The following is a 16,588-nucleotide window of genomic DNA, read 5'->3' as shown; positions in this document are numbered from 1 at the left end:
AAACAAAGGAATTCCTCCAGATTACAGTGGCAGAGCCAAGACTAAAATTGAGCTCTTCGGATTCTTTGTATAGTGCTGTTTTTTCCACAGCTCCATGCTAAATGCATTGTACATGAGCTCCCTCATAGCCCCCGAAAAAGTGATGGCCATCCTGGGAACCATGTCCTTAGGAGACTTAATAACCGTTGCATACAGAAAACCTGAAAACATCATGAAGGGGGAAGGACAGAAGAATGCTGTCAGTGTTTCCTGGCCAAAGGCCAGATACTCAGCATGGTGATGGAGCCTGGCCATGTTGCCTTCTCATGTCACAAATACCAGAAACCAGCTTAGGAACTTCCTTGTTGGTACTGATCCAAGAAGTGGGTGGGGTCAGACTTTATAATCCACCCAAAGTTAGTGATGCCAGGAATCATTTTGCCCACATTTTACTCATAAGAACAAGACTGAGAGTATCACTGTATTCTCTGTGTGTTTTCCCATCGTCTAAGGAAGATTGAGTCTCAGAAGGAGCCCTTCAGGGTAGCTGGACATTCTGGCATTTTCCACTATAAACATTACAGACATCTGGCAGAGTTGCTGTTTAAGCTTCTGCTTTCCAGTGGCCCTCTCCTATTCTGCAAGCTGCTGAATGCAAAGCAGATTGGAACTTGGCAGCAATCCTTTTTCTGATCCCCTGTGAAGTTTCTGTGAAGGGAGATAAACCCTTGCCGATGATAAACAGTAGGCAGAGAAGCTGTAGCTTTAGAAAGAAGCTGTGGCAAAGTCAAAGTGGCAAGAATTTGGGAATGACACACATTTTCCCATCATGTCATGGGAAATAATTAGTTTTCATACAAGATGGTAATACACTGTACATTTATTTATAAATCCTCCACTTCTCTTCCATGTTAGAAGTATTTTGAGATTACTAAAAAAGGATCACTGCTTTGATGTCTGGCAGGGCTAAACAGCCATGTTACAACATTGTTATTATTACCTTCCATTTTCATAGCTGTTTACTCTTTCAAAAGGGCTTCATTCACAAGTATGTTCTTATTTGATCTTCACAGAAATTTGGATAGAATTAGGCAGTATTATTAGCGCCATCTCACAAATGAGGAATCTGTTGGTCAAATGGGTTAAAAACCTTGCTAGAGGCCATCCAGGGACCTGAAGGCAGAGATGGGACTCAGTTCAGGTCTCCTAACTCTCACTGCTGTGTTCCTCATCGGTCACTGTTCTCAGGACCACATTTCAGTTCAGCTCCTCTCTCATTTATTGACTACCCGCTATGTTTCAAGCACTCTGCCAGTGTTAGAGTTACAAAGAATTGCCCTGAAGAAATTCATAGTCTAAGAGAGAAGTAGAAATGTGAATAAATAATGTCACTACAGTAAGGTGCAGTGGATGTGCAAGGGAAGAGTGCTTAACTCTGCCAAGTAAGCCAAGAAAGTTTCACAGAGAGAAGGACATTTAAATGATCAGTAGAAAGGTGCCAGCCTGATGTTGTTAGTGAGAGAGGCTGGAATTCCCAGGCTGGAGCAATCTTCCTGCCTCAGCCTCCTGAGTGGCTGAAACTACAGGTGTATGCCATCATGCCCAGCTGGCTTGTTTATTATTATCTAAATTAACTTATTACAGTTAATCAAGTCAGTGTTTTATTCAGTAAAGTTACCACCATTATCCAAGATGAAATAATAAGACAGCTCTTACGTGCCAGGAACTTTTCTGAGCACTTGAATGTATTTAACGCATTAATTCTAGCAAGAATGCAAAGTAGGTACTATAATTAATCTCTACTTTACAAATGAGAAAACTGAGTCCCAGTGAGTTTTAAGTGATGGATGTAACTATTTTCCTGGAGCCTCTCACTCAGATAACTTCTTAGCTTAAAACAAAAATATGTCATGTTTAGCATTTTTATGTAGCATGCTGTAAAATATGTTTTGATGCTGACCTTGCCCTTTAAAAACATTCCCCATGCACTTTTTGTTCCAGTAATATTGTGGAACTTGTAGTTTATCAAACCTTGACTCTCTAGTGCCTCTCTCTTGAATATTCTTCCACTCCACCCAACACCCTCAGAAAAATTGTATTCCTTTCTTCAAGATTCAATTCAGGTATCACCCCTGCCACCCACAGCTGCCCCTAAGAGTTTCCTTTGATTCCCTAACCTCCTTCAAAGGAGGAACCAAGTTTTTTTCCTACCTTAATCCCTGGTACCTAGTACAGTGCCTGCTGTTGAGTGATATCTCAATATTATTTGTATGATTGAATGAATTAATGGACTTGAATAATTTATTTTATTAAATTTTAAAAGATATAATTAACTTTCTGATGCCTTACTAAAGAAAATCAGCTAGTGTTATAAGATATTCTGTAGAATAACATTCCTTACAGTTATGTTAAAAAAAAGTCGTTGACAGATGTAAAATTGCTTCCTTCATCTTGTAGATCCTCACAAAGGATTCAGTGACAATTAGCGTGGATGGTGTGGTCTATTACCGCGTTCAGAATGCAACCCTGGCTGTGGCAAATATCACCAACGCTGACTCAGCAACCCGTCTTTTGGCACAAACTACTCTGAGGAATGTTCTGGGCACCAAGAATCTTTCTCAGATCCTCTCTGACAGAGAAGAAATTGCACACAACATGCAGGTGGGGAGTACGTCAATGCTGTTACCCCCCAGAAGCTGAAAAATGAAGCAAAGAGTCAATGGTTGTTTGAGAACCTTTTATTAATTCAAGTTGTGGGGGTCTGTGACCGTTTTTTTTTCTTCATAGTAAAATTTTTCAAATTTGGCAGGAGGGGACATTTTTCACATTAGCAGTTCATGAGTTCATAACACTCATGCGTACATTTTTTTAAAATTTTCTTCAGTGTGTATTTTTTTCCAGAATCAGTAATAACCTTTTTGTTTAGAACAGAGGCTATTCTGCAAGATAGTGTAGGTATTCCTAAAGCTTTATTCTGTGTGTGAGTCCCATGAATTATAACTGTTGTGCTTTCCAGTCTTTCTTGAGTAACAGATATTCAGTTAAGCATAGCTTATTCAAAAAAGATAAAGTGCTATAACTCTGGATTCTTATTATTTGTATAGACTTCATCGTGGGTAAAATCTATGATTGTATTTGATATGCACAACAACCTATGAAATAGATGTGTGGTTTCATTCCTGACATTCTAAAGGGAGGAAGTTGAAGCACAAAGGAGTAATATGACTTACACAGAGTCACATTAGCTCAGGAGTTGGCAAACTGTAGCCTACAGGCTGTAGTTTTTGTAAGTAAAGTTTGACTGGAGTATAGCCACAGCCATTTATTTATATATTATCCATGGCTGCTTTTGACTACAACAGCTGGGTTAAATAGTTGAGACAGAGACTACAAATAAACAATCACTATATGGCCCTTTTAGAAGAAGCTGCTAACCCCTGCATTAGCTTGTTAGCAACAGAATCAGGATCAGTGAGCCAGCCCCTGCGTCACCATTCGTTCCACCGTGGGGTAACTGTCTCTCCACAACTCTCCCCAGCACCTTATCTCCTCCAAATCCCAATGAATACAGCCTCTGTCAGCATCTGGGCTGGGCTGAGGAGATTTAGCTTGCCTTCTCTCTTCCTAACAGTCTACTCTGGATGATGCCACTGATGCCTGGGGAATAAAGGTGGAGCGTGTGGAAATTAAGGATGTGAAACTACCTGTGCAGCTCCAGAGAGCTATGGCTGCAGAAGCAGAAGCGTCCCGCGAGGCCCGCGCCAAGGTAACTTTTTTTTTAAACTTGTTTTTCTTACTGAGTTTTCTCTTTTATTAATAATTATAAAAAAACGTAAAACATGCTTGCTGTAAAAACTTGAAATAATCTTGAAGTGGTAAAGTTAGAAGTGAAAACCCTCCCCGTAACTTCAAATCATATTCCCCCAGAGGTCACCACTCCTAACAGTTGAGTGTATTTGGATTTTATTTGACCAGGTTTTTGGATTACTGGCTTGTTTGTTTTACAAAAGTAGGGTTATACTGCACATGTTGTTCTGCGCTCTGCTTTTTTCATTTAATATTAATATCTATGGACGTATCAGTACATGTAGAGTTACCTCATTCTTTTATGACTGTGTGTACCATACTTATTCTCCCGATTCCATATTAAGGTCAAATTAACAGTTCCAACTTCGGAGCAAGTGGGTCATCATTCCATCCATACCACCCATCTCTTACTTATTTTTGGCTTCTTTTTTGTTCTGTTTCTTTTCTCAGGCTCTTTTTCCCTTTTACTGTTTCCTATTCCTCATTCTCTCTTTTCCTCTTGTTTATATTCTCTTACTTTGACATCTGCCTTTTTTCTTCCTTCTTTTCATCATCATCTGCCTATGTCTTAACCCTGCATGGGTGGCATGGCCCCTCTGGGAGGCACTGAGGAAATATTTGTTAACCTAACCTAGAAAAGAGTATCTTTAAAGATGATAATGTGTAAAATTTCAGGGATATCTCACCAAACCCAAAGGTAGGAAGTAGGGGCAAGTCTCACCAAAATTGGAACCAGAAGGCAGTTCAGGGAACTAGTCATTCCCTTTCCTGTGCCACATCTCACTGTAGATAGCTTGTGGTGGAGAATGTCTAGCTCCCAGGTTTAGATGTCTGCCAGGTGAACACTAAAGAACACAGACCAGCCCTAATTCCACATTCACAGAAGAGACAGTCTTTTTGGTCCAACTTTGGTCAAAGTGCAAAGATAGCATAATAATATGGTTCCACAGCCCTATGCCTGTGAATGGGCTGAAGAAGAAGAGCAGTTTTCATAGGAGGAGTTGCTGTGGACTTGACAAATCTCCCAAGACACAAGGAGCAAACCAATTTGTTGTTAGAAAATAGTAGTAGCTGGTCATCACTGGCTGACCACAGAACGCTGTTCTTTTCTTAGGATGCCCTTTAAGCCACAAACTGGTCACTATAATTTCTTAGCCAGCATCAAATAGGATAGTAGCTCATTTGACATGCGACTTCAGAATTTTGCATTAACCAAAATGTTTAGGTTTTCCTGGTATGATGATTGTTGCTTTGTGATGATAACCTGGTAGTACTACAGAACCCTCTAGTGCTTTCTTTCAAAACTGTTACGTTTAGAAGATTAAATTATGTTTACGATGTTATTAAATGTGCCCTATCATCTCCTTATTTTGAAAATTAGGAATTGCTTTTAACTAGAATATGTTATTAGGCAAAAGCCTCATTTCCAAACCAGATTGAATAGTAGAATGTACCATACATATACTACGTAGAATGTCAGAGCCCAAAGGATCCTCAGAGATTATCTTCCATAGGTGGCAAACACTTAGCCCAGATGCTAGCACTCCATCCTGCTATTCCCATGCTAGTAATTAACCACAGCACTGTTTTCCTCTGAGCTTAGACTTGGCCTCAGAACCCTTCTATAGCACTCTGGGTAACAACCCTCAACTGCTTAGAGTTAGCTCTAAAAAACAAAACTTGAGGCCAAGCACAGTGGCTCACGTCTGTAATCCCAGCACTTTGGGAGGCTGAGGTGGGTGGATCACCTGAGGTGAGGAGTTCAAGACCAGCCTGGCCACCATGGTGAAACCCCGTCCTTACTAAAAATACAAAGAGTAGCCTGGTGTGGTGGTAGGCGCCTGTAATCCCAGCTACTGGGGAGGCTGAGAAGGAGAATTGCTTGAACCCTGGAGGTGGAGGTTGCAGTGAGCTGAGATTGCGCCACTGCACTTCAGCCCAGGCGACAGAGCAAGACTTCTTCTCAAAAAAATTAAATTAAATAAAAAATTAATAATAATAAAAACTTAAAAAAAAATGAAACTTGTTTGCCATCCCACTATTCAAAGGAAAAATTGAAGCTCTGAAAAGTTAAGTGACGTCCGCAAGGTCGCACAGTTGATTAGTAGCAGTGGAAATTAGAATTCCCCTCTGCTCCTCATTGCCTCCTCTAGTACTGACTTCCCAGGATGGGCTATGAGCCTCTTCCATAGCATTCTTAAGAGTTTGGAAAGAAAATTTCTATCTTCCCTTTATAACAGTAAGAAAAGATAGAAGAAACCGCTTAGAATTCTGAATTGCCATGCTCCCACTTGGACGGGGCTGTAGGGTTAGTCTAGAAGCAGTCTCATGAACCTGGGCAGTGACTGTCTTGGAGTTCACACATAGAATCACAATGAGCCTAGCCCTTCTGTAAAATACAGTAACCCTGCAACAACCATAGGCTTATTGTATTGAAATTCTCATGGAAAATAGGGGGGTCACAGTTTCTTCAACAAATAAATTGCACAGGAAAGGTGAGATAGAGTGGAATAATCTAAAGATTAAGAGACTTTATAGAAAAATTCCTTAGGCTAATTAGCCATCGGGGAAATGCAAATTCACATTATAAGCGGATGTCACACTAGACAGCTATCAGAATGGCCTGAAAAGAACGGAAAAGAACCAAGTGTGGGTGAGAGAGGAACTAGAACTCTCATATTCTGCTGGTGGCAGTGTAACTTAATACAACCACTGTGGAAAACAGTCTGGCAATGTCTATTCATACTGAACATTTGTATACCCTATGAGCCAGCAGCTCCAACTCCTAAGTATGAATCTAACAGAAATGCACTCATATGTTTACCAAAAGGCATGTACTAGAATGTTCACAGCAGCACATTGACCCAAACTGTAGAATACCCAAATGTCCATTCCTAGCTGAATGAATGAAGTCTGGTTTATTCACATGTAGGCATACTACATAGCAAAGAGAATGAATGTAAGTGCTCACACACATAATTTGAGTGAAAGAAGCCGGTCACAGAAGAGGACAGATTCTCCTACGTGTTTCTCTGTATGTTAGGTTTGGTTTTTAAAGTGTTTAGACCAGCTCTTAGTGGCCTGAAATGTAATATCTTTTGTGTTTGCATCAGCTTTTATTTCCTTTTCATAACTCTCAGAAAAACACCTGGCACATGCTTTTGGGCTCATGTTTCTGGGTGTAGAAGTCTATTAATTGAGAGGATGGAGTGCAGAAATACAGATCACCTTTCTCTGCCTTTTCCTCTGCCCAGACCACCTGGTCTGCAGAAGGGACAGGTAGCACCAATTTCACATACATGAAAATGCCAGACTTTAAAATGATGTTCTATAAATATGAAATGTTGATTGCTATGAGATTACTGCACATTCGACAAAAGCCGTGCACACCCACAAATAGCTTGCTTTGCTCTCTAAGATCCTATCAACGGAGTGTACTTGGCCTGTATTTAGACAAAGCCGGTGGTGTTGTTTACATCTTTGGCAGCTTGCTCAGTGTGGCTTTTCTATGAACAAAATGTGTGCCCAGCCCGGTGGGTCTGGCTTCTCAGCCAAGCGATTGTGTATTGATTGGTGGTGGGAAATGAGATATCTTTTCAGTTGGTCCATGTCCAAAGAAAAAAGTGCCTAATTGGACATCTGAGATGATATGGAAAAAATGAGAGCCTGCTGCTCTCATAGCAGGGGATTTCTGATGTATTCTCTGTAGTGCCTACCTTGGAATACAGTTCTGTGGTTTTCTTTGAGCAAAGCTGGCACTTGTCCCTTCTCACAGACCTAGGCAGGACATGATGTGTGGCTTTGATAAATTAAGGTTTTTATCCTATAAGCTGGATCCTTTCTCTCAGTGAGTACTATATTCTGTATCCTATCTCCATTAATGGCACTAATCTATGCAACCAAAACCTGGAAACCTGGGTCTCAGCCTGTGTCCCCCTTTCCTCCTCCTACCTAGTCTCCAAATTCCACTGATTCGCCCTCCTTCGGGGAGGGAGAATAGCTCCCCAAACCATTTCATTCTCTGTCCCCACCACCTATGAATCGCACCGGCCACTCTAAAGCAGTTCCACTAGCAGCTTTCACTGCCTTCTCTTCTAACCTCAGACATCTGTCAGAGAGCTTTTTCAAACTAGATCTGATGGAGTTTACTTACCTGCTTAAAATCATTCTGCAGCTTCCCATTGCCTACAGAATGAAGACCAAACACCCTGGCCCTCACTGCCCTTCAGAACCCGGCCCCATTCATCCCCCACCTTTCCCCTCTTCCTGCCATAGTATTCAGCCATTGACAGTTTTCTGGAATATACCATTTTTATACCTCAGTACCGTTTCATGTGTTCTGCCCAAAATATTCTTCCTCATCTTTTTCTAAACAGCAAACATTTTATCATTTAATATTCAACTTCTATAACCTCACCACGTCACCCTCTGGAAAAGTTGCTTTCTTCTGTTTGCTTGCACTGTGCCTTGTACATATGTCTGTCAGCATTTATCACACTAGAATGAAATGATCTACTTCCATGTCTGCCTTCCCTACCTGACCAGGAGCTGAAGAAGGCTAGGGATTCCACTCTATCCTTAGCTTTTCCTACACAGGGCTTATTAACCCTAGAAGGCCCCCAAATTTTGCTGTGTGAGTGAATGAAATCTCACTGGGCATAAGACCATCACCTCCAATTCTGATATTCATGGAGTATTATGGACCATTAATTATTCAAGATTCAAGTGAGGATAATAACCTGGAGAAATTGTACTTTTAATCTTGATAATTATGGTGTCTTAATACCTTTCCTTCTTCTAGGATTATGAATTAAAGTAACTACCTTGAATCTTTTGTGCATTAAAGCATAGTTGGACCCAAAAATCAGGTCTTGTCACTTGCCATTCCTCTATAATAGCCCCCTTTATTCATTTAACACTTTATATACTTTCTCTGTCTTCCTCACAAGTGGTCCTCTGAAGTACATGTTAGTCTGCTTTAAGAATGGGAAACTGAGGTTCAGGATGTTCAGTAACCTCTCTGAGGACATTCGGCTGGTAAATGTTAGATTTGGGATTTGAACTCAAGTCCATTTGACTCCAGAACTCCTGTTCTGTCTACTACTCGAGTGATCTTCAAACTTTTTTGCCTGTGAAACCCCTTACAGAATTTAGAAAAACTATAAAGTCCATCAAACATTTTAAATCGGCATGTAAAAATTTTTCATCTTGAATTTATGTACTTGCCAAGAATATAATTCCTGGCATGTTGTAAATATTGACATTTTTAAATAAAACTGTTAACATCATTCTTTTAAATGTACCCAATGAGAAATAATAATGATTTAGTTATCCATTAAAAATATGTAAGTAAACTCTTAACAGTCAGGAGCTTTTTATTGTTTTTTTCTTCTTCTTCTTAAACCTAAGTTTTTTATTGCATCTTCACTTCCGCCAGATTCTTTTCCTAACATACATTTTGTCATGAATTATTTTATTAACATACTGCAACATATTTAGTCCATAAGTTAGAATTAATTTTTAAAAATTTCCTGTAACTAAAAACAAGGTTCTACAAACATTTCAGAATTTCTCCTAAATAAGAAGTCAATTTTTTTTTTTTTTTTTGAGACAGATTCTCATTCTGTCAGCCAAGCTGGAGTGCAGCAGTGGCATGATCTCGGCTCACTGCAACCTCCCGGGTTCGAGCAATTCTCCTGTCTCAGCCTCCCAAGTAGCTGGGTTTACAGGTGCTTGCCACAACGCCCAGCTAATTTTTGTACTTTTAGTAGAGATAGGGTTTTGCCATGTTGGCCAGGCTGGTCTCGAACTCCTGACCTCAAGTGATCTGCCCGCCTTGGCCTCCCAAAGTTTTGGGATTACAGGTGTGAGCCACTGCACCCAGTACCAGAAGTCAATTTTTACTAGAAATGCTTGTCTTTATAAGATGAATGAGAATTAAATCGTACATGTATAGATGGCTGTTGTTTAATGCTAGAATGAGACACGATTCAGCATCAATTTTATTCCTATTTTTCATTTTTATAGCTATAAGGACTTTGAAACCTTATTTACATAAATAAGTAGATGGAAATGGAAGTTCTGTTTAAAGTAGTATCATACAGTTCTTAGCACTTTGAATTTATGTGCTAAAAAAATCATATCACAGTCTTTCATCAAAAAATATTTATAATGACCTGTCAGCTTTCAGTTTAGTAAGGTACTCATCAGAGAATTGGAAATGCTGCTGACTTGCAAAAGGATTTGCCTGCAGTCATTAAAGTTACTTGCTTTCTCAATCCTGCACAGTATTTTGAATTATCCCTTTGTTTGTTACCCTGGAAAATGGGAGAAAGGCTATAGTAAAAGAGAATGTCTTGATCCAGGCACTAGTCAGGCAAGTCAGTTTCAGAAAAAGAAGCATATGGAAACTGAGTATGTAGAAATTGATTTTCTTAAAACTACTCTGGCATACGCCCTAGAAAGTTTTGTGGACCACCTGAGGTATACATACCCCCGGTTGAAGAGTGCTGTGTGTCCCCATGAGGTTTTCTCCAGTTCAACCCCTCCTTTCACCTGTCCATAGGTTATTGCAGCCGAAGGAGAAATGAATGCATCCAGGGCTCTGAAAGAAGCCTCCATGGTCATCACTGAATCTCCTGCAGCCCTTCAGCTCCGATACCTGCAGACACTGACCACCATTGCTGCTGAGAAAAACTCAACAATTGTCTTCCCTCTGCCCATAGATATGCTGCAAGGAATCATAGGGGCAAAACACAGCCATCTAGGCTAGTGTAGAGATGAGCGCTAGCCTTCCAAGCATGAAGTCGGGGACCAAATTAGCCTTTAACTCATAAAGAGAGGGTAGGGCTTTTCTTTTTCCATATGTCAATTGTGGTGTTCCCAGAATGTATAGCAGTTATAAAAATAGGTGAAAGAATTGTTAGCTTGTAAATACTGAGAGATTGGTGATTTATATAAGGTAATCTGTTAGTCTTAAAATAGTTAAAAGTTTGTATTTTTAGATTATTATGTAGTAGGTTAGATCCCTCTTGTTTTGACTTCCACTGACTCATTCTGAACCCCCTAAGCACCCAGGCCAGAGGCAAGAACCTGGGCTGTAACTGCCACCTGACACCGCTGACTGGCTAAATGCTTTGCAGAAAGTGATGACCTTACACCACAACCAGCTTCTCCAGGTCATATGTGCCTTACCTCCAGAGAGTCTTTTTTTTTTTTTTTCTGAGATGGAGTTTCACTCTTGTTGCCCAGGCTGGAGTGCAATAGCATGATCTCGGCTCACTGCAACCTCCGCCTCCTGGGTTCAAGAGATTCTCCTGCCTCAGCCTCCCCAGTAGCTGGGATTACAGGCTCATGCCACCATGCCCAGCTAATTTTTGTATTATTATTATTGTTTTTTAGTAGAGACGGGGTTTCACCATGTTGGCCAGGCTAGTCACGAACTCCTAACCTCAGGTGATCCACCCACCTCTGCCTCCCAAAGTGCTGGGATTACAGGCATGAGCTACCACACCTGGTTTGGAGAGTCTTAATTAAGGAAATTTCCCTAATGTTCATTTATTTTCTAAATCCAGACCGTGTTTCAGAATAATCCTTACTTGAGAGTAGCCATTTTCTTGCCTGTACTTGTCAGAACTAGAGGAAATAGCCAAGACTAATGAAAAAGATTACTCTAACCCTTAAAAGACTTTTAAATTCACTACTAGAGTGGTCATTTTAAAAATACATCCATGTTTTAACTTATTTGAGCCTTCTTTATGAGTAAATGATTCCTCCTTGTTCTGTCTTTCAAACCAGCTAAATATTTGTCACAAAAGTGCTTTTTTCTCACTGTTGCCTATTTTCATATATCAGGTTTTAAATAGTTTTAATTTTTTAATAAAATTTTCTCTACGTTCTATATGCAATTGTTATATATCTATTTGAATAGCTGAAGGACTAAAATACTTTTTTAAGAGATAACTTCAGGAAACCATTATATTTTACTATCTGCATGCTGTTAACTGTGGTACACTGTGAAATATGTTGATTACAAACCCATTCATTACATAGTATAAGGAATTCACAGTATATTGACTATATAGTGTCTAATGATCTTGGGCAGATACTGTCAAACTTACAATATCTATATAGATGTAGGTCTTTTTAAATTTACCTAGTCATTCTTCTATCATGTATATTGATGCTGAAAGAGGAACTGGTCAGCTCCTCTGGACAACAAATTCTTAGTCTATAATATTAGGAGACATCTTCTGTTTTGCAAATGTCTGTGAATCTGAGCAACCTGGCATTCTGCTTACTGGCCAGAAAGCTGGCGGGTGACATTTGTAACATTTCCTCTTTGAGACTCTGAGTTCACCTAGAGAAGTCTAAGCATAACAGCTTTCTTTCCCAGCACGAGCCTTTATAGCTCTCTTTAGCTCAACCACTCTGTCCATCCAGCCAATGGATGTCCCTTCCCCTGTACCCCAATTTCAAGCTTATTTTAGGAAGCCTTGAACTACCATGTATCCTGGCTCCTAGCTGAGTTTATTAGAGGTATGGAGCAGTGCAACTTAAACTCAAGTTGCACTTACATTTTGAATTTTAAAATGATGGTTTTATCTGTTGTGTGAAGTGGTTCACCCTTGAGGACCAGGAGCCTCCATATCCTGACTGAAAACCTTTTCTGAGACTTAGAGTAACAGTGCTTTTGGTTCCTTGAGTTCTCCTGTCTCCAGATACCAAATGACCTTGACTTTTCTGCCTTGTGAATTCGTAGTCCAATCAGCTGAAATTAAATCACTTGGGAGGGACGCATAGAAGGAGCTCTAGGAACACAGTGCCAGTGCAGAAGTTTCTCCAGGTGGCCTCCCTTTCCAACAATGTACATAATAAAGTGTATGCACTTTCACTAATATTTTTGGGGTGAGAGTCTGTTTCGGCCTGTATTGAATGTCTGTGGATTTCCGTTTTCAGAAGTAGTACATTAGATCCTCCGGTTCTGAGCTGGCTGGTTGGCTTCTTCGTGTGCTTTGTGGGCCAGGGGAAGGGGACAGGCTGCTGTGGGCCATCTGCTGTCTCCCAGGTCCAGGCACCCTCTGGTGCACTGGCCCACACATTTTCCCTGGGGAGTTTCAAGATCCACACACACCCTCCACCACCACCACAAAGCTTTAACTGACTTCATTTTCTTTTGCCTTCCTCCAAACAGGACAGGAACCCACTTCTTGCTGTCACCCAGTTAATCACATAGACATAGCCTTTACTTAAAAAGAAACAAATAATGATAAAAAACCAATGTGTTTTACCTGCAACATCTGACAGAACTGTCTTGAATTAGTGGCTACCATTTGGGAGCACCAGTCACTCAGCTCTGTGCACAAATACGTGTATGTACATTCTATCATTTTATCTCAAAATGGTTTGATAGACACTTTATTATCACCATTTTGTAGATGAGGACACTGAAGGCTCAAAGGTTAAAACAGCCAAAGTCACATGGTCGGAAAGAAACAGAGCTGGGATTCAAACCCAGATCTGTCTAATGCCAAAGATTTGTGAGGTGTATCAGTGTATCTTCGTGTGACACTGCCTGCCTCTAGTGCCCCCATCCACACACCACCACCACCATTTTGTAGATAGATCACAACTTTTCCCAAGACTATCAAAGTTCATTTGTCTTTACATTCACACCTAACTGGGCCCTAAACTTAAACTTTTGTTTTGGGCCATCCAATTCAGCCAAAGTTCACTATAAAAAGAGGAGAGTCAATTGGGCATTTGTTTGTTTTTTTTTTTTCTTTGAGATGGAGTCTCGCTCTTGTCATCCAGGCTGGAGTGTAATGGCGTGATCTTGGCTCACTGCAACCTCTGCCTCCTGGGTTCAAGCGATTCTCCTGCCTCAGCCTCCTGAGTAGCTGGGACTACAGGCGCATGCCACCACGCCCGGCTAATTTTTGTATTTTTATTTTTAGTAGAGATGGGGTTTCACCATGTTGGCCAGGCTGGTCTCGAACTCCTGACCTCAGGTGATCTGCCCACCTCGGCCTCCCAAAGTGCTGGGATTACATGTGTGAGCCACTGCACCCGGCCCGATTGGGCATTTGTAACCACAAATGTCATAACACACTGTCCTGAGCAGGAGGAAACCAGTGTTCCATAGACTCTCAGCTTATGTAGCATTTTAAAATATATCATTTCTTGTGATACTCACAAACCTGCTCTCACAGTTACTTGGCTAGTAAATAGTGAATCAAGTGCCTCTTCCTCTTACTTTCAGCAGCAAACCCCTTTTTTCAAAGGTAACTGCATCAGTAAAAGGTTTACGGTGTCTTTTGCCAGGATAAATTCTTGAGTTCACATTTATAACATTTACTGAATATAAAGTAACTCAATGAGAACAATGAGGCTGTTTTGAAAAACAATATTAGAGTTACGAAAGAGTTCCAATCTTATATTCAGAGTCTACATTCGATTTCTCCATTTTGCTTGTCTGTTTTTATTACCACTTTAAACATGGAATTTGAATCTAATATTTACAAAATCACAGAAGCACCTCATAGAATTCTACATATTTCTGTTTGAAAATCACTGCTCTGGAGTGCTTTCCTTGCTATAGCATCCACTTTATAATGTGACCTTGGATAAGTCATATGTTCTCTCAGCCTCATTTTCCTCACCTGTAAAACAGGGAGATTATAGTCCAGCTGTTTGGGTCTCAGACCTTTTGAGAATGTGTTGGAAGCTACAGAGCTTCGTCTGAAAACTGCACATAGTGTGCACAACACAAATTTGGATGCTTTGGGGGTACACTGGCCCCACTCCCAAACCTATCCAAAGACTTAAGAAATCCTGGGCTAGATCATGTCTAAGATCCAACTACACAGCTATGCAGTTACCTGAAGAGTTTTTACTTTATAGGAACCAAGAAGAAGGCAAAAGGAACCACGGTTGAATGCCAGCACTGTGCAAGACACTTTACACAGCTTTTTTCATGTCCATGCATAATCTCATTTGGCTGTGTTGACCAGGCCACAGGAAAATCTCCGGGGATATTAGTGATGATCTCTTCCTGTGATGTTGTTAACATCAGGTCTACAGCAGACCCAGGCTCAGATCAAGCTAGGATTTGCCTAAACCAGTCACACTGGCTAATAGGATACAGCCCCTTTCAATCTACCCTGTAGCCAGAAGAGTTTAGTGAGAAAGGAAATTGAAGCCGCTGTTAAAACTGTGGTTTTACAATAAACTCTAGAAACATAGTAATCATAATGCAGGCTGCAAATCTTCCCTAAAAGATTCCGGGGGAAAATGACTGGAAATTGAACAGTCTGAAAATTAATTACTGGATGCCACAGAACTGTAAGGAGCCATTACTTTTAATTTTCCGCATCTGGCCCCCAGAAGTCTCCAACAAAATGGCGGTCTACCCAGCATCCATTTATCTCCTCCCTCCTTCCTAGGAGCCATGACTTTGTTCAGATACCTCCCCCTGAGCGCTCTGACCTCAGGAGAAGAATTCACCCCCACCTGCTAGGATGAACCTAACTGGCCTATGAATAATTCCATCCTTCTAGCCCATGATTCCATCAGGAATGATTATGTGACCCAATATGGATTCTTGAGACCTGAGGAAAGGTTTTCCGTGGTCTTGGGAGCAGTTCCTCCTCCCTTTTCTGAAAACTTTTCTAGAAACAGTCCTCTTTTCCTCTGGGCATTGCTGTTCATGGGTGTGGAGCAACCAGAACACCTACAGATATTTTACTACCAGACTAGCAAGGGCCAAGAGAATGAGCAGGAAACTCAGGCCCACTACGTTTAGTCAACCATGAAGTCCCCCTCAACTCTGAACTGATTATGTATGAGAGCACATAAGTGTGCTTACAGTTTAATTTGGTTTGAGTTAGCCCTCCACTGCTTACAGCCAAAAACATCCTTTCTGATCCACAGTACATTGGGCCTTTGCCTCCGTGGTTGAATACTAGGTTCTGCTGTGGCCTAGGTGCTTTCATTATTTTTAACCATTTTCGAGCACTTACTATAGGCCAGACATTGTGCTAAGCATTACCTCCCTTAATCCTCATGAGAATTCTAAGTGGGGTGACACTGTTCTTATTCTCATTTTTCAGCTAAGGAAATGGCAAAGAACTTAAGATCACACTGCTAATGAGTGGTAGAGCTAGATTTGAACTGAGGTCTGACTCCAAAAGCCAGCTATTAGCCACTGTATTATACCACCTCCAGCTAGGTATTAATACAACATTACCATTTTGCAGGTGGGTAACTTGAGGCTCCAAAAGTTTAAGTATTATATCTATAATGCCTTGCACAAAGTAAGTACAAAATATCTGTTCAACTGAATTGCCCAAGATTGGACACAAGATCCAAGCCTAGCGTTGTCCCTCTGGCATCTGTCTCATTATTTCACGATGATTTTTCCATTGTAGGAGACGATGACGTCTGCAACTTTAGAAAGATAAAATGTGCGGTTGAAGTGATAGTGCTCCTGATTGGCTTTTCTGCCTTTGAGAGAAAAATAAGAAGGCAGCATCTCAGTGGCCCCAGGCTATTTTCTTTCTCAGAGCATTGCACAACTCTCTTTTGAGGCCACAGCCATACCCTTGAATGCTGGTATAAACTGAAATGAAGAATTAATGGGCAGGTCTACCTGAAATTTTACCTCCCACTAATTTCTAGGAAGTAAGCTAGCTCTGTCTAGACAGGCCTCTACCTGCCTCTCGTGAAAGCCCTAGAAGCTTTGGGTGGTAAATGCCACTTCTGTACCAGGACTTTGTCAAGTTGATTGCTTTGACCATGAAAG

The 16,588-nt window shown here is 40.8% G+C and overlaps 1 protein-coding gene across 5 annotated transcripts in view; it reads left to right on the top strand.

The window, feature by feature from the left end:
• Positions 1-12,773, top strand: part of STOM (stomatin) — a 31,264-nt gene extending 18,491 nt beyond the window's left edge. For 2 of the 5 annotated variants that reach the window (NR_073037.2, NM_004099.6), the window contains 3 exons: positions 2,437-2,640; positions 3,611-3,745; positions 10,352-12,773. Coding sequence is in view for 4 of the 5 variants with exons in the window: in NM_004099.6 (NP_004090.4) it covers positions 2,437-2,640; positions 3,611-3,745; positions 10,352-10,558 (546 nt within the window). In the remaining variant the exon portion in view is untranslated. The remainder of the gene's footprint in view (positions 1-2,436; positions 2,641-3,610; positions 3,746-10,351) is intronic. The other 3 variants (NM_001270526.2, NM_001270527.2, NM_198194.3) reach the window with 3 other exon arrangements.
• The last annotated feature ends 3,815 nt before the right edge of the window (positions 12,774-16,588 follow it).

This window comes from Homo sapiens, chromosome 9 (genome assembly GCF_000001405.40).
Source record: "Homo sapiens chromosome 9, GRCh38.p14 Primary Assembly".
In the NCBI taxonomy this organism is placed as follows: Eukaryota; Metazoa; Chordata; class Mammalia; order Primates; family Hominidae; genus Homo; species Homo sapiens.
The sequence above is the reverse complement of the archived record's forward strand: the minus strand, read 5'-3'. Positions and strand labels throughout refer to the sequence as shown.